A 17,547-nucleotide genomic window follows, 5' to 3' on the forward strand; every position below is an offset into this window, starting at 1 on the left:
AGGACAACACTTACTGGTTTTCCCCTCCTTTCTCAGATGGCACCTATTTCAACCCTGCCGCCCCAGCCTCCCAAATATGGGACCTTTTCAAGGCTGTGTCTTCAGCCTCCTTCCCCTCTGTGCCTCACCACTCCCCAGCCACCATCACACTCCACACTCACCGTCTCCTTTCCTGACCCAGATGGGGACATGTAACAAGCCCTGCCCACTGTGCATCCCTCCAGACATCCACTCTCCCGTCCCCTGCCCACCTGTGCATCTGTCCACCCACACACCTGCCCACTTGACCGTCCGTTGTCCATACAAACCCCAGCACACCTCCCATCTGTTACACATAGGAGTAAACCTCTCAGCACTTACTACGGGCTGGACACTGAGCATTTAATACTTAGAATAACCATATTGAGGTTGAGACCACTAGTACCTCCATTTTACAGATGAGAAAACTGAAGCAAGGAGGGTAAATGACCTGCCCAAGATCACACAGCTGCCCAAACTCGGATTCCTCACCTGCCTCAGGACCCTGCCAATTTGTGTTCACACAAGGCCGATCCTGGGCCAAGTCTGGGGCTTGGTTAGGGAATGTGACGTGTGCAGAGAGCTCAGCGGGCACATTGTGGGTGCCAGGGCTCACGGACCAATGGAGCCCACTGGGGGGCTCCAAGCACACCTGGTGTCACAGAAGGCTGTGTGTGTCGGGGTGGGGGTACTTTTGAGCTAAGATGTGCAAGATAAATGGGAGTTTCTGGGCGATAATGGGGTGAACTGACAGAGCAGTGTGGAAAAGGCATATGGGTGTGTGACCTGGTCCCTCAGAGACTGCCAAGAGTTATTTCTGTAGGTGGGATTGTGGGGAAGAAGGCTGGTGAGGCTGCAGCTACTTTGGAGCTGAGAAGCGCTCTCCCCTGCTCTCCCTGGCCTAAACACTGAGTGTCTTCCATGGTTTCTTTCTTATCCTCTGCCTCACCTGATGTGTCGGGGTGGGTGGCCTCACAGCCCTGCCCTGCACAGGTCTCATCACCTTGCAGCTGGACCATGGCTTTGTTCTCATGACTGCCTGCCCTGGCTCTGCCCTCTGGTCCATCCCTCTGGCCAAATCAGGCTTTCCGCAGAGCTGCTATCACCCCATATCCGTCCAGCTTGACCCTCTGTGCACTCCTCATTGCCTCAGGGCCCTGGAGATCGGCCCCAGTGCTCTCCTGCTTCATCTGGAAACATTTGTCTCTGCCTCCCTTGACCTGGGTCTTCTGACTCTTGCTGTTCCTGGGCCCGACCCTGCAGGTCTAGGTCCATGCACCTGCCCTGCAGGCCTTGAGCCACTCTCCTAGGACTGCCAGTTCTGCACTGGTCCCTCAGGCACCCTCTTGTACTCGGTTGATGGATGGGTGGACAGGTGCTCCTTTTTGGCTCCTCTTGGCCTGCTGGGCCTCAGCTGCCAGCATGCACATTGGTTGGGTTGTCAGACTCCCCAGGCCCCTGCCCCATGCCCTGGCTCTGTTGCTCTGGGCACACGATGCAGCCCTTGAAACATCAGGATTTTGATCCATAAACATGGAGACCACCTATTACCCACCTCCAAGGACCACTCTGAGTCTCCCCCGGTAGATGGCACTCACAGACCGCGTGGCATGCTGGGAGTGCTCAGCAGCTGCCAGTGTTAGTAGACGTAGATGCTGCCTCTTGAGGTTGGCACACAGTGGGTGCTCGAGAAATGCTCTCTGCTATGACCTAGGCAGACAAAGAGGGTCTGCCTCTGCCCCCAAGGGGTCCCACCCCCGCCCCAGATGGTATCAGAACAGATTCCCCATTCCATGCTGAGGCAAGTGACTTTTCTTTACCCTAAGTCAGAACTTGGCATGCTATTAGCATTAAGTTTCCCCTTATTTCATCTTTGCACGTCACTCCCGCCTTCTGCATCCTCAAGGTGCGCTCATTCTGCGTCGCTCCATCTAACACATAGGCTGTGGGTGTTCACTGCGTGTTCATACACAGTGCAGGGAATGCAGCAGGAGACCCAGGACGAACTGGGCACAATTTCTCTGTCCAGCGGTTGGGGATGGGGGGAAGGCAGACCTAAAAATCACGATGATGATGACCTCGGCCCCCTTCCCCCATTCCCAGGATACTGCTGCAGTTCAGCCCTGCACTGTAAAGGTGAAATCGCCCCACAATAGTTGCAGGCTGTCCTCTTGACATGAGGAAACTGAAGTTCCTAGAGGCTTCTGAAGTTCCTGGCAGATCTAAAATTCAAGCCTAGGTCTGTACACAAAAGCCCACCCTTGGTACCTTGGCTACAAAGAGATATTATGCCCAGCAAGAAGCAGTGTAGTACTGGAGGCCTCATTAGCACTGCGGTGGCTGGAGGAGGATGCGATCAGGAACAGGCAGTCTGTATTTTAGCGAGTTCATAAAAATGTTGACCAATCTCAGAGTGAGGCTGGGAACAGGAGCACCACGAGACCTGGGTGTGTGGGTGTGGGGCCGTCCGCCCCCTGCAGCCTCACTGAACACACCTGCAGCACGTGTGTCCGCATCATGATGTCCACAGGGGTGTTCAGGAGGTTGTGTCAGGTTCTGCTGGACAGCAGGAGCATGAGGGCCCTGAGCACTCCAGCCCCTGCACAGGACCCTAACAATGATGTCTGAGCAAGGCATGCAGAGGGGGGTTACTGAAGCTCAAAGGGGCTCAGGGCCTGGCCTGGGGTCACGCTGCCAGTAGGGGTTAAAATGAAACATGCTGGGTGCTCAGCCTGCAGTTCCATTTTGATTGATCCGTCCGTTCTTCCCTTCACCCACTCACCCATGCGGGTCTCTGGGAGGAGCCTCTCAAGGCTTCCTCCACAGGGCACCTCCTTACCTGGGTGGGCATTAGGTCTTTCTCTGCTGGAGGCCTGGCTCCAGTGGCCACAGCCCTGCTGCCCCTCACCCTGCCAGTGTGTCACTCCTGCTCATTTCCGACTATCTTCCTCTCACCTCTGGTTGCCTCCAGGGCTGGTACTTCTGCGTCGGCCTTGTTGATTCTGGGGTGGGGAGCCCTGTACTGGCCCCTCCAAGCCCCTCAGCAGTTCTGTCCCCATGTCTTGCGGGGCTGTCCCTGCCTTTCTGGGATATCTTCTCAGGGCCTGCTTGATGACCCTGGGTTTGGGCAGGTCTTGGCCCCAACCCAGGCCGTCAGAGTTTGTGTCCTTTCTCAGGGGTCCCCGGTGGGGCCCTCCTCCATCCTGTAACTGAACGCACACCTCTCTCCTGTCCTCTTCACAAGAGCCCTCCCCGTGCAGCCCTGGGCCTGGGGCACAGAGCTTGGGCATCCAGGGACCAGCCCAGACCAGGGTCTTGCTCGGAGCCCGGGCTCTGGGCTCCCTGTTTCTCCCCTGCCCTCCATTCCCCGCCCACCACGGGTCCCAACCCCATCTTCCCGAGCATTCTAGCTCCTCGCGCCGGGTTCTGCCGCGGGCGTCCATTGTGTCCGGACGGTGGCTTCCCCGGGGTGGAGTCGGGTCAAGGCTGGCCTCTGTGGGAGGGGGTTGCCGGGGTCCCCAGGAACCTCTCCGAAGGCAGCACCACCCCCCGCCCAGCGCCCTGGCTGGTCTCACCGGCCCTTCCGTCCGCAGGGGAGGACGAGAAGCTGGCGTCCCTGCTGGAAGGGCGCTTCCCGCGGAGCACCTCGATGCAAGACCCGGTGCGCGAGGGTCGCGGCATCCCGCCCCCGCCGCAGACCGCGCCGCCTCCCCCGCCCGCGCCCTACTACTTCGACTCGGGGCCGCCCCCGGCCTTCTCGCCGCCGCCCCCGCCGGGCCGCGCCTACGACACGGTGCGCTCCAGCTTCAAGCCCGGCCTGGAGGCGCGCCTGGGCGCGGGCGCTGCCGGCCTGTACGAGCCGGGCGCGGCCCTCGGCCCGCTGCCGTATCCCGAGCGGCAGAAGCGCGCGCGCTCCATGATCATCCTGCAGGACTCGGCGCCCGAGTCGGGCGACGCCCCTCGACCCCCGCCCGCGGCCACCCCGCCCGAGCGACCCAAGCGCCGGCCGCGGCCGCCCGGCCCCGACAGCCCCTACGCCAACCTGGGCGCCTTCAGCGCCAGCCTCTTCGCTCCGTCCAAGCCGCAGCGCCGCAAGAGCCCCCTGGTGAAGCAGCTGCAGGTGGAGGACGCGCAGGAGCGCGCGGCCCTGGCCGTGGGCAGCCCCGGTCCCGGCGGCGGCAGCTTCGCCCGCGAGCCCTCCCCGACCCACCGCGGTCCGCGCCCGGGTGGCCTCGACTACGGCGCGGGCGATGGCCCGGGGCTCGCGTTCGGCGGCCCGGGCCCGGCCAAGGACCGGCGGCTGGAGGAGCGGCGCCGCTCCACTGTGTTCCTGTCCGTGGGGGCCATCGAGGGCAGCGCCCCCGGCGCGGATCTGCCATCCCTACAGCCCTCCCGCTCCATCGACGAGCGCCTCCTGGGGACCGGCCCCACCGCCGGCCGCGACCTGCTGCTGCCCTCCCCGGTGTCTGCCCTGAAGCCGTTGGTCAGCGGCCCGAGCCTGGGGCCCTCGGGTTCCACCTTCATCCACCCACTCACCGGCAAACCCCTGGACCCCAGCTCACCCCTGGCCCTTGCCCTGGCTGCCCGAGAGCGAGCTCTGGCCTCCCAGGCGCCCTCCCGGTCCCCCACACCCGTGCACAGTCCCGACGCCGACCGCCCCGGACCCCTGTTTGTGGATGTACAGGCCCGGGACCCAGAGCGAGGGTCCCTGGCTTCCCCGGCTTTCTCCCCACGGAGCCCAGCCTGGATTCCTGTGCCTGCTCGCAGGGAGGCAGAGAAGGTCCCCCGGGAGGAGCGGAAGTCACCCGAGGACAAGAAGTCCATGATCCTCAGCGTCCTGGACACATCCCTGCAGCGGCCAGCTGGCCTCATCGTTGTGCACGCCACCAGCAACGGGCAGGAGCCCAGCAGGCTGGGGGGGGCCGAAGAGGAGCGCCCGGGCACCCCGGAGTTGGCCCCGGCCCCCATGCAGTCAGCGGCTGTGGCAGAGCCCCTGCCCAGCCCCCGGGCCCAGCCCCCTGGTGGCACCCCGGCAGACGCCGGGCCAGGCCAGGGCAGCTCAGAGGAAGAGCCAGAGCTGGTGTTTGCTGTGAACCTGCCACCTGCCCAGCTGTCGTCCAGCGATGAGGAGACCAGGGAGGAGCTGGCCCGAATTGGGTTGGTGCCACCCCCTGAAGAGTTTGCCAACGGGGTCCTGCTGGCCACCCCACTCGCTGGCCCGGGCCCCTCGCCCACCACGGTGCCCAGCCCGGCCTCAGGGAAGCCCAGCAGTGAGCCACCCCCTGCCCCTGAGTCTGCAGCCGACTCTGGGGTGGAGGAGGCTGACACACGCAGCTCCAGCGACCCCCACCTGGAGACCACAAGCACCATCTCCACGGTGTCCAGCATGTCCACCTTGAGCTCGGAGAGCGGGGAACTCACTGACACCCACACCTCCTTCGCTGACGGACACACTTTTCTACTCGAGAAGCCACCAGTGCCTCCCAAGCCCAAGCTCAAGTCCCCGCTGGGGAAGGGGCCGGTGACCTTCAGGGACCCGCTGCTGAAGCAGTCCTCGGACAGCGAGCTCATGGCCCAGCAGCACCACGCCGCCTCTGCCGGGCTGGCCTCTGCCGCCGGGCCTGCCCGCCCTCGCTACCTCTTCCAGAGAAGGTCCAAGCTATGGGGGGACCCCGTGGAGAGCCGGGGGCTCCCTGGGCCTGAAGACGACAAACCAACTGTGATCAGTGAGCTCAGCTCCCGCCTGCAGCAGCTGAACAAGGACACGCGTTCCCTGGGGGAGGAACCAGTTGGTGGCCTGGGCAGCCTGCTGGACCCTGCCAAGAAGTCGCCCATCGCAGCAGCTCGGTGAGCAGGGCGGTGCGGGGAGGGATCCGTGCCTTGTCCGTGGCCCCGTCTGTCATTCCTCTTGTCTGTTCTCTGGCTCTCCTGTTCCTCCTTGTTCTGTTCCATTCCTTCTGTGGCAACCCCCAACCCGCCCCCGCCATCCACCTCTGAATCCGGTCTTGCTTGGCCTGCCCGAGAGAGGAGGTTCTTCTGGGCGTCTGACACGTCAGGGTTGCTGCTCACTGTGTCCCTGTTGGTGCCAGAAGTGGGAGCTGGGCTCCCCTCAGAGACTCAGGTTGGGCATGAGGCGCCTCCATGGCCCTCCTGGAGGCTCTTGGCCCCAGGGATTCCTGTGAGTTCTCTCTCTCCCTCCCGACACAGGCTGTCTTTACCATTAAGGGTTGTTTTGTGTTTTACTTTGGAGGTACGCCTCCCTCCTCCCATCCTCTCTGTGGCCATGTGGCTGCCCAGTGTGGCTGATACCCTCTGCCTTACAGCTGCCTCCTGCCTTGCTTCCTCTGGCGGCTTGGAGCACACTGACTCCTTTTCTTTTGGGGGATCTGCCACTAACTCCCTATTTCCCATCCCAGAAACATTTGTCTCTTGGCACCACCTTAGAATCCCTTAAACATGGATTCCCGTGTGTCATTTCTAAAGTGCAGTAAGAAGATAGATGGAAGTCACGCCATCTCCCTGCACTCCATCTGCCCTCTTGCCTTCTCCCCACCACTTCCCCGTCTGTCCTGCCCCTGCCCAGAAGGATCTGAGCAGGGGCCTGGCTTGCTGCTGAGGCTGTCACAGCTGCCAGAGCCCTGGGCTGATCCCATAGGTCTTTCCTTGAGGACCCGACTCCCAAGGCTCCTTCCAAAGAGGAGCCCTTCGGGCCCGTGGGCTGCATGGATGCTGGCGGCAGAGCTGGTCATCCCCCACCCGCCCCCTTGTCTGCCTTTTTAAAGCTGCTTTTGCCTTCTGTGCCCCTAGGTCTCCCCTCTCCTCTTTGGGTCTGGGGGGGTGGTATGTGGATGCCACCTCTTGACTCCTGCTTCTTGCTGCCTGGAAGACCAACCTAGTGGGCCCCGTACTGTCAGCCTTGGAGGACAGAGTTCACAGCGTAGCAACGTGTTCAGAACTTAAGGACTTTGCAGGTCTTACAAAGGCCTGGCCATTCTACCTTCTTTAGTTCAGGATTCAAAAGACAGGTAGGAGCTTGGGAAGCTCATGAGGCCTCTCCTAAGGTCCCGGGATGCTGCCTCCAGCTCCTGTCATCCTGGGGAATTGCTCTGGGGTCCTCTCCCCTTTTAGCCTTTTCCAACTCTCAGCCAAACTGGAAAGCCCTCTTCCCAGCAGTGCAGTGTTGAAGGTGCCCGTAGAATGGGTGTTATAATCAGAGTGAGCAGCCTGGTCCTAGGCCTCTGTACAGGACCAGACCCCTGAGGCTGGGGTCTCCTGACCCACACCTGACCAGCCCCCATCTTCCCTCTCTGCTTCTCCCTCCGCTCTTCTCTGCCTCTTGGTCTTGATGAAAATCAAAGCCATTTTAAAAAGTGCATAGCACAGTGCCTGGCCTGGTTCGGGCCCTCAATAAACATTTCTTAAATGGATGAAAGAACAAAGCAAAATGCAAATGCTGTGTTTTGTGATTTGAGATCTAGGGAGGTGGCTTAGGACAAAAACCCACAGAAGGACTTACTCAGCGTTCAGACTCATCAGGTGTCGATCCCCCATGGTCGGGCTCAGGTGGGCCCAGGTCTCGTCATTGGCTCTGTCCTCTCCTGTGAGGCAGCTGCAGCAGTTGCAGGGCAGGGTCAGGGGATTCCTCAGCCGGAACCTCTGGCACTTCCCCTTCTCTGAGTTCATCCTCCCACGGTGCTCTTTAGCATTCTGTCTTGATCAGGGTACGGTTCTCTTAGCCCTTGGCTCTGGCTTTCACCAGGACCCTGTTTGTTTTTCTTTCTCAGATGTGGGATGGGGAAGGACAAGACCAGCAGCCCTGACCCTTACGTGACGTCTGTTCTTTTACTCAGTAGTTCCTGCAAAATTCTGATCTCTGATTGGGTTCATGTGGGTCCTCTGCTTTTCCCTGACTGATCACTGGGGTCTGGGGACATAGGGCTGTCATCGGCCAAGCTTGAGTCCTCTGTTCTCCCAGGAGCCAGGGGGATGGGTCCGCCCACCTAGCAAGCAGGTGCTGAGAGTGAGGGGAGGGGGCTCTCCAGATGGAAGTCCAGTGCTGTCCCTTGAGTAAGTAGATGCTGGACAGCCTGTAGCAACCAATGTTCTGTGACACGGCCCCCACTGGCATCAGCAACTCACTTCCTTGCCGGTCATTGGCTTGGAGCCATCAGAGGGCCCTGATGTCGGTGCTCAGGAGGTCACAGCTTAGTGCTGTATCCCTCCCCTGTGAAGTGTATTTACAGCGAGCCAACTGCACAGGCTATCGCGAGGCTGCACACGGCATCACCTGTGAAGCACCTGGTAGGCCCAGGGCTGGGGCCTGTGGACCCCTCACTGGTGTGAGCTGCCATTGTCTTTGCTGTCACTGACGACACCTAGGTGAGGTCTTAGAGTCCTTTGTGGGAAAACAAGCCTGTTGGATGCAGCACTGGAGACGGTCCTGCCGTATCAGTTTGTCTTCACACCGTTCTGTTAGACGGACACTAACAGAATCCTCATGTTCCAGACAATGAAACTGAGGTACCAGAGAGCTTCCTTGCAGACAGAAAACGGTGGTCTGCCTGACCATGAGCCCTGCTCTCTGGCTGCCGTAACCAGGGCCGCTGTTGTTAAGCCCCTTCTGATGACACACAATGGGCTTTTGCCCAGTAACGCCCCTCCACAGAAGTGGCAGGTGTGTGCATGGCACAGACTCACCCCCGCTGTTTACTGGTCATGTTTGTCATAAGTAGCACCTGGTGCCACCTGAGTGGCCTACCCGGGCCTGCTTTTCCTTCTCAGTTTGCCTCTGTGTTACCTTCTGTTCCAGCTCACTCTTCCTTTCACCCTCTTGCGCTCCTTCTCGCCCTCAGACCTGGGCTGAACTACAGCCATCTGGAGGGGCCCCTGCCCACCCTGGGCCCTTAACTTCCGGTGCTTCTGGCTGCAGGCAGCGGAGCGGAGCACAGGACACTTGGTGATGTCTGAGTCCAGTCCTGTTTCAGATCTGGTCCTTGTGTGCCCACCGTGGCTGTTGTCAGCTCTTGTCCTGCGGCCCCTAATGGCTGGAGTCCGGTACTCACTGCTCACTTAGGGATAAAACTGCTGGTGGAACTGCCTAAAGTGTGGGAGGTTCTGACATCCAGGTATGGCTGCTTCCTTCCCAGGGCCAGTCGTGGCAGAGGCGCTAGGTCACCCTCAGGGCCATACCCTGAGCTGTGTCTCCAGCCCCTTGTGTTCCACAGTGTTTGTCTCCCAGGCCCATCCTTCTCCTCCCTGACCGACACCATGAGGAAGGGAATGCCCACCCACCTTTTCCAGAGATGGCTCATTCCTGATGTGCTTTAGCCACAAGGTGTTCTGTGGCCTGAGAGCTTTCTGGACAAGTTAAGCTGTCCTGTATGTCGTGGAACCAAAGCTCGGTAACCTGTGGAAAAATGATGAGCTCTGGGGCCACCTTTGATTTTCAGGGGAACCTGGAGGATGTGGCACTCTCATGCTGCCTCTGGAAGGTCCAGGACCTTCGGCCTTTTGAATCCTCGATCCCAGATTGTCCACCTGCTCTGTGCTCCCAGCTCCAAGTCTAGCTCTGCTGGACAGACCATTCATCTGCCCAGAGCCCCTCCTCGGTCTCTGGGCCCCACACCTGACTCTGAGGCTACATTTGGGCATGATTCAGACCTGACTCCGAGCCCCACAACTGGCCACAGGCACCCCATCTGTCTGAGGCTCTCACTTGTCTCTGAGACCCTGGCTTCACACCTGGCTCTAAACTCCATTTGTCTTCCAGGCCCCGTGCTCGGATCTGAATCCCATGTGGGGTCTGAGGTCCATAGTAAGGCTCACGTCTGCCTTGGCACTTAGCTTTACATGGGACTCTCACATCTGGTTTTGTAGGTAAAGTTCATGGCAAAGTAGCTTTGGAAACACAAAAAGAGGTTCTTTGCTGCAGTACTTCTGGTGCCTTTGACAAGCTTGTGTGGAGGAGGGCACTGTGTGCCGTGGTCTCCAGACCTGCTAGAGTCAGTTCCTAGGTCTCCCAGAAGACCCATGTTCCTCAAAATGGTCAAGAAGCCCTGCCCTGGTGGCCTGCTGCAGACCCTGCCTGCTAATATATTTGTCAGGGCTCTGGACAAAGCACTGTGTGCTTGGTGGATCACACTGGTAAGCAGGGCCAAGGCCAGCAGGGCCTGCTCTTTTGAAACCCAGACTGAATGTGTCACATACCTGCCAGTGGGGGCCCCTGCAGGCCACATGCAGCTGGGGCAGGTGTGTTCCCAGGATCCCTGAACCCTGTTCGGGGAGTAGGAAGGAGGTACAGAGGAGGGGTCATAGGACACTGGGGCCCATCAGAGCTGGAGCTGGGAACAGGCGGGGTGCCGAGGAGCAAGACGTGTTACCGCAGAGGATGCACTGGAAGCTTCCGAGCCCATGTCTGGTTTTGTGCTCCTCTGAGAATTAGTTCCCTTAATGAGGCCCCTAGTTTGCAAAAGGCCACAGGCCTAGACCGGCCCCACGTGAGTGCAGTGGCAGAAGGCCCGAGGCAGTATCCCGGGCCCGAGTGTGGACATTTTCCTGCCTGTTGGCCCTAGTGGGCTGACTGAGTTGGGCACGCCTGGCAGGGACATGTCATACATACTATTTTTGCATTTTGTTAGTGCATCTCGTATTCCTGGCTTTGTGCTAGGTACCAGGAGGCAAGGAGAACTGGTAAGAAGTGGGGTGAAGGGCCTGAGACCATGAACGGTCTGGATCCAGAAATGGCAAGGGGTAAAGAGAAGGTCTGGGTTGATATTAGGAGTTAGCCATTGGCTGTAGGGTAAAAAGAGGAGCTGATGGTGGCTCCCAGGCTCTGTGTGTGGCAATGACAGGGTGCCGTTCACTGAGTTGGGGATGGAGGGACATGTGTGGATACCCCAGTAGAGGTGTTGGACTCATCAGAGGCTGTCTGGGTCTCACATGTAGCATTCCTGGGCACACTGGCCATAGCAAAGGGTGTGAGTGGATAATGTTGCCCAGGAGAAACTGCAAACTAAGAGGGGAGCTCTCCGAAAATCCATCTAGGAAGGAAGAGGCCTGGGAAAGAATGTCTCGAAGGGAAACATGAACAGGTCAGCAGCGGGGTCTTGCTGACCGCCTGGCCAACTGTGGGGCAGAGGGCGGAGTGGGGAGGGTGTGGCAAGGCCAGACCTCTCTCACTGGCTGAGAGTCACTGGGAAACAGTGAGACGGTGCAGGATTCAAATGTAGGTGGAAAGACGTGGGGCCGTGGGGGCCTCAGTGTGATCTGGACTCAGCCTCTTCAGCGTGGCTGCTGGAGGTGTTCGTGGGTGACGGTGCCTGGTGAAGTATCATGTGTTAGAGGGTGGGTGGCCCAGAAGCTCTCTGGGAGGCTGGCAGGTGCTGTGATGTGGCTGTTTGGCGGCCGGAGCCTGGCCAGGGAGGTGGCCAGACGGCTGAGAGTGACAGTGGGTGTGCAGAGAGGCCATGGAAACATGGAAGTCAGACATGGACACTGCTCGGGTTTGTGCCCTGGGGATGGTGTGGGCAGTACCCTCTTCCCCAAGAGAAAGAGGAGAAGCAGACACCTGGGCCATGGGTGACCCCAGGCCCCTCCCTCCTGTGCCCTGGGGCCTTTGGCAGGCACAGCCTTCCTTGGGCGTTTTCTCTTGGCCTCCTGACATCTCCAGCATGCTCTGGGAGGCGGGAGCAATGTGAATGGCTCTCCTCACATCTCTTGCCCTCGGGCCCCTGGCTCCGTGGGTGCCTCTGGAGCCAGCCTGCCCTCTGCCCAGGTCTCCAGCTCAGCCCCTGCCAGTACTACCCAGACAGGCACAACTCTGCTCTGCCCAGCTCGGACCTCCTGGAGCCCAGACCCTGCTCTGGGCTCCGGCCGAGCCTCCTGGCTGCGCTGCCCGCGCCTGCCCTGTGCCTCTGCCTTCACTGCTGTGGTCCTGCAACTCATCAGTGTGCTTCAGTCACACCTGAGACTCCAGGTACACCTGCCATCACAACTCCACTGAAAGCTAAGCCTTGGGGCAGGGGCAGGGCCAGGGTAGGTGTCCATCCTGTGATACAGGTCCCCAGGCCAGGGCCACTTTGTTGGGGCTGGTGGGTGGAGGCCAGGTGCATATTCCTGGTCCTGCCCCTCTCTGGGTGTCCACAGTCAGGTCCCTCTGAGTGATTCTCTCGGAGTCTCCTCTGGCAAGCCCCTCCAGCAGTCACCACCACCTGGGCACCCACCCCCAGGGGACCCCCCGACCCAACACCACCTGGCACCTCCCCTTGGGAATCCCCCCAACCTTGGCTGCCTCCCCACTTTGGCCCACTGTGCAGGTGGATCCATGGAGGCCAGGTCCAATGGGAGCAAAGACAGCTTATTCTGGTGGTTGGTGCCTGTGCTGAGGCCCACCTCAGGTGTTCTTGAAGCCCCTTTCTGTTTGGGGGCACAGTGTGGCCTCTTCAGGAAGTTCTGCTCTGGATCTGAGCAGCTGGGAGGAGGCAGTAGGGACAGAGGCTGAGGAGAGGACAGAAATGAGGTCCCATGGGAGAGACAGAGCTCAGATCTCCACAGAGGGCTGACCTCTCACAGGTGGGAGACAAAAGACGAAACCTGCTTTAAGGGGAGCCCCATGCGTGTGTGGGGCAGGCACTGGTGATGCTGTGTGGTGAGGACAGCCTTTAAGGGGAGCCCCATGCCTGTATGGGGCAGGGACTGGTGATGCTGTGTGGTGAGGACAGCACAGAGGTTGGGGTGGGGGGACTCAGCCTGGGCAGGGGCAGGGAGAGGGGGTGGGAGGGCCACTGGAGAGGGGCCCGGCCAAAGAGGATGTCAGGGGCTCAGCACCCCCAGGCGGCCAGGCACCTGCCGAGCACTGCAGCCACGCTTGTGGTTCACCTGCACTTGGAGACTCTCGCACAGGCGCCTCTCCTCCACCAGCAGCTCCAGCTTTGTCCCTCCCACAGCAGCTGGGCCCTCTGCACCTGAGTTCCTCCCTCCACACCTGGCTGCCCATTGTGTGGTTGCAGCTGTGGGTCGCGTGGGCCTGGCCGGCTAACTCTCTCTCTCATTGCTCTCTCCTGCCCATCTGCATGTGGCTGCTCTGTCGAGCTGCGCCGTGGTCCCGAGCGCCGGCTGTGTAAGTGAGCATGCCCATCCCATGCCTCTTGCCGTCCACACGCTGTGCCTGTCTGCCTGGGTCTCTGCTCTGCGTGGCTGTGAGAGGCTCTGGTGCCACTGACAGCCCCTTGAGGCTTCCCCTGACACAGTGGGGATAGGGATGGGAATGGGAGGACATGGGAGTGGGTTTTCTCTGGAGCTATCACCCCAGGTAGGCCTCCCACCACGGCAGAGCCAAGGAGGGGCTAGAGCTCTAGGGTCCTGTCAGGTGAGGCTGGGAAGTGAGCTGCCATCGGTTCTTGTGTGTGTGCGTGCGTGCATGTGTGCGTGTTGCGTGTCTGCGTGTGTGTGCTGCTGCCACCGCAGCATGTCTGTAACGCGTGTGGGCACCGTTGCTGCTGTTGTGTGCCGTCTGTGCAGGAGGCTGCCTTTGTGTTGAGGGTGTGCACGGCCTCACACCTGCCCTGCATGTGCTGCTGCTCCATACGGGTACGAGCCCTGCCTAGTGTCTGTCTCCTGTGTCACGGACCTGTTCAACCTCGTGCTGCTGCCAGCCTTTATCGCGACTCAGCTGTCCCTGGAACCTGCCCAGGATCCCCTGGGTCTTCTCATGAGAGCAGAGCTGTGTGGGGGGTGGGCGGTGAAGGGTACTGCCCAAGTCTCAGCGTCCCGGGTATCTGTGGATCCCGCCATGCCCAGAGCCGGTGTCGGAGGCTGGCAGGAGGGAGAAGCCCGCCCTTTGCCATGAGAGGCTGTCTTTTCTTTGGTTGGGCTGCACTTGGAGCCTGGATGGAGTGGAGGGGGCCACCAGTCATTCCTCATATTCCAGCCAGTCGCTGGCTCTGGTCCCAGGGGCCAAAGAAAAGGGCCAGGGTAACCGTAGGATCCCACCCTTTATTTCTTCCTCTGGCCGGGCTACTCCCGCCAGCCGCAGCCCCAGCCCGTTTCCTCCTGGACCCTGCCCGCTCCCCTCCGCCCGTCCCCCCTTGGCTGTGCGCCCCTCACCTGGCGCTGACCCCTCTCCCTCCGCAGGCTCTTCAGCAGCCTCGGTGAGCTGAGCTCCATTTCAGCGCAGCGCAGCCCCGGGGGCCCGGGCGGCGGGGCCTCGTACTCGGTGAGGCCCAGTGGCCGCTACCCCGTGGCGAGACGCGCCCCGAGCCCGGTGAAGCCCGCGTCGCTGGAGCGGGTGGAGGGGCTGGGGGCGGGCGCGGGGGGCGCAGGGCGGCCCTTCGGCCTCACGCCCCCCACCATCCTCAAGTCGTCCAGCCTCTCCATCCCGCACGAGCCCAAGGAGGTGCGCTTCGTGGTGCGCAGCGTGAGCGCGCGCAGTCGCTCCCCCTCGCCGTCGCCGCTGCCCTCGCCCGCGTCCGGCCCCGGCCCCGGCGCCCCCGGCCCACGCCGACCCTTCCAGCAGAAGCCGCTGCAGCTCTGGAGCAAGTTCGACGTGGGCGACTGGCTGGAGAGCATCCACCTAGGCGAGCACCGCGACCGCTTCGAGGACCATGAGATAGAAGGCGCGCACCTACCCGCGCTTACCAAGGACGACTTCGTGGAGCTGGGCGTCACGCGCGTGGGCCACCGCATGAACATCGAGCGCGCGCTCAGGCAGCTGGACGGCAGCTGACGCCCCACCCCCACTCCCGCCCCGGCCGTGCCCTGCCGGCAGGGCCCCCCACCCCCACCCCGGGCCGCGGGCTCGGCCTGCCCCTTACGACGGCGCCCGGGCCAGGAATGTTGCATGAATCGTCCTGTTTGCTGTTGCTCGGAGACTCGCCCTGTACATTGCTTAGTGCCCTCACCGGCCGCCCAGCCCACCCAGCGCACAGTCAGGAAGGGCGTGGACCAGGGAGGCTGGGGCGGGAGGTGCCGGGGGTGGGGTGCCCTAGCGTGACCACCTCCTTCGCAGCTCCTGGTGGCCATTCTCCCAGAGGGGGAACCTAGTCCAGCATGCGAGGTCAGGACCCGCCTTGGTGACTCGGGGGGAGGGGGGAGACATTGGGATTCTCGATGGGGGCCAAGGAGCCCCCCTGTTTTGCATATTTTAATCCACTCTATATTTGGAACGAGAAAAGGAACAAATATCTCTGTCCGTAATAGTTTCCTCTCCCCTCCCTTCTACTTCCACTGGTCCCACTGCAGCTGCCCAGTCTTCCATCTCCGGCCCCTCACTGCCACTGCCACCCCACAACGGGGCAGGGGACGCTCCAGCTGGTCTGGGGTTGGCCAGGGCCCTAGTGGCCCGCCCTGGGGCCCCAGCTCGGCCCCTCGCCTCGCTGAGCTCTAGTGTGCCCCACCGACCCTTCAGGTGCTGCTCGTGGTGGGAGGGGCGGCAGGCCGCGGGTCCTGCTGTGCACCCGCGGGACCAGCCGGCCTGGGAGACCATCGGCCGGGGGGGATGAGGGCAGGGCCCTGCCGCTCCACCGCAGCCATCTTCCTCACAGGGTCTCTCCCCAAGGAGGGGGCTAGCTTGGTCCCCATGCTCTTGGGCAACTACAGCAGAGAAGCCTCCCTGCCTTGGACCCCAAAGTCTCCTGTCCTGCCCTTTATGTGTGTGGGTGAAACTGGGTGCGTCTGAGCACGTGGGAGCCGTGTGTGTGCCTGATTACTGAGTGGCCACCAGGGGCCGCTCTGGACTAGCGCGGGGCCGTGGAGGCGTGCACCGTGTGCATGCGTGGGGTGTACCTGTGAGAGCACCCTGTCTCCTCTTCCAAAGAAAGTCAGAGGCCATCCTGCACCCTGGGTCCAGCTGTTTGCCCAGCCTGTCCTTCCAGAGCCTCACCCAGCCTGAGCGGGGTTCCCTGGTGAATCCCTGCTGCTTGGGGAGGCCCCAAGGGCCCCTTGGAGGCAGCGCCCCCACCTTGGGCTTCTGAGGGCATCATAGGGGGACCCCTAGAGTCAGTTCACCACAGGCCCTGGGGAGAGTCAAAGACCCCCGAGGGTGCCCAGCCCCCCACACTGTGACTCCTCACACTCAGCGATGACCTGTGGGGTGGGGGGCCCTGGGACGTTTTTAAACCTAGGGTTTGGAGTCTGGACTAAGCTCCATCCACGTCACTCACAAGTTTCTGTTTATATTTCTAGCTTTTTTTAATAAAATAAAAAAAAAAAGAAAACAGAAGTTTTCACAACCCAGGGGCCTGGCACGCCGGTCTGTGCCTGCCCGCCCCGCCCTGGCCCACCGGCCCCACTCCCTGGGCACAGAGTCACACCCACTCATCCTTCCGCCAACAGTCCAGGTCACACAGCAGCAGTCACTGTAACAGACTGCCACATACACACTCGGTCTCACACTCACCTGTGGGTTTTGGTTCCGTTCAATTTGGGTTTTTAACTTTACAGGGTCAGTTCCGCTTCACCTCCTTTTGTATGGAGTTCCATCCGGGGGGTTTCACCCCCTGCTCCAGTCCTGAGGCCTCCTGACCCTGACGTTGTGATACGCCCCACAGAGATCTATGTTTCTTATATTATTATTATTGATAATAATTATTATAATATTATTATGTAATAAATTTATAAGAAATGAAGCCATGGCTCAGTTGCCTGCTTGAGGGGATATTTGTGTCTGTCCCTCATACCGGCCACACAAACCTCCTCAGCCTGGACCACATGCACGGGTGACTCCTAGATCCCTATCTTTGACCTCCATGCCTAGGCACCTGGCATCTTCCAGCATCTTCTCCGAGTCTGCTGGAACTCAGCCCATGCCTTCTGCACCGAAAGCTTTTCTCTGTTCACCAACCCACTGAGTAGCACCTCCTAAGCTGGAGGCCACTTGTCCTCCATGACCCCTGCCAGGTTTTAAGCCTAGGGTTTAAGACTTGCTCCCGCCAGCGTCCGGTTGCTTTTAAATTCTGCTGCTCCTGTCTTGGAACCCGCTCGCATCTCTCGCAACTGTCCTACCCCACGGCTGCAGACCAGATTTAGCCCTCACTCCTTCCCTGCTGATTCACTGGTTTTCTGTTTCCATTTCTGCCCTCTGCTGACAAACACCAGCCTGTCTGTAAATGCAGCTGATGGATGGACCCCGTGAGCCAGTCCGGCCCAGCCAGTGCTGCCGTGGCCCTGCCAGCATCCCCTGCTCCCTCCCCATGCACACATGCTGCTCGCCAGTCTCCCCCCACCTCCTGCAATCCCTGAGCCGCTATGACGCTTCAGGGCTCTGTCTCACACATGCCCTCTTCCTTCTGCCTGGATCACCCATCGTTTGCCTGCATCAAGCATACATAGCTTGGAGGCTGATCTCCGGATCCTGTCTTCCAGGACGTTTTCTCTGACCCGCCCTCCCTGGAGTCCCAGTTAGATGTTAGGCTCTGCGTCTGCACGGCCCTGGTGCTATCTCAAATTAGAGCAAGTTGGTGCTTCTCACCTTGGGTTGTCTGCCCAGTTGGATGTGAGGTTTCCTTTTTGCTCCCACCCTGAGCACCAGAGACA

The 17,547-nt window shown here is 60.6% G+C and overlaps 1 protein-coding gene across 1 annotated transcript in view, besides 1 other annotated feature; it reads left to right on the forward strand.

The window, feature by feature from the left end:
- SHANK3 (SH3 and multiple ankyrin repeat domains 3) overlaps positions 1-16,640 on the forward strand; it is a gene marked incomplete in the record, with an annotated part of 60,390 nt that extends 43,750 nt beyond the window's left edge. Inside the window, 2 exon segments of the mRNA NM_001372044.2 lie at positions 3,612-5,865; positions 14,149-16,640. Coding sequence (NP_001358973.1) covers positions 3,612-5,865; positions 14,149-14,740 — 2,846 coding nt within the window.
- Positions 7,691-7,750: an enhancer, noted in NCBI's record as "active region_19333". NCBI's record gives its function as "activates an Ori minimal core promoter by ATAC-STARR-seq in GM12878 lymphoblastoid cells {active_cell/tissue: GM12878}" and the evidence as "EXISTENCE:reporter gene assay evidence [ECO:0000049][PMID:35858748]".

The sequence above is a fragment of the Homo sapiens genome, chromosome 22, assembly GCF_000001405.40.
Source record: "Homo sapiens chromosome 22, GRCh38.p14 Primary Assembly".
Lineage (NCBI taxonomy): Eukaryota > Metazoa > Chordata > Mammalia > Primates > Hominidae > Homo > Homo sapiens.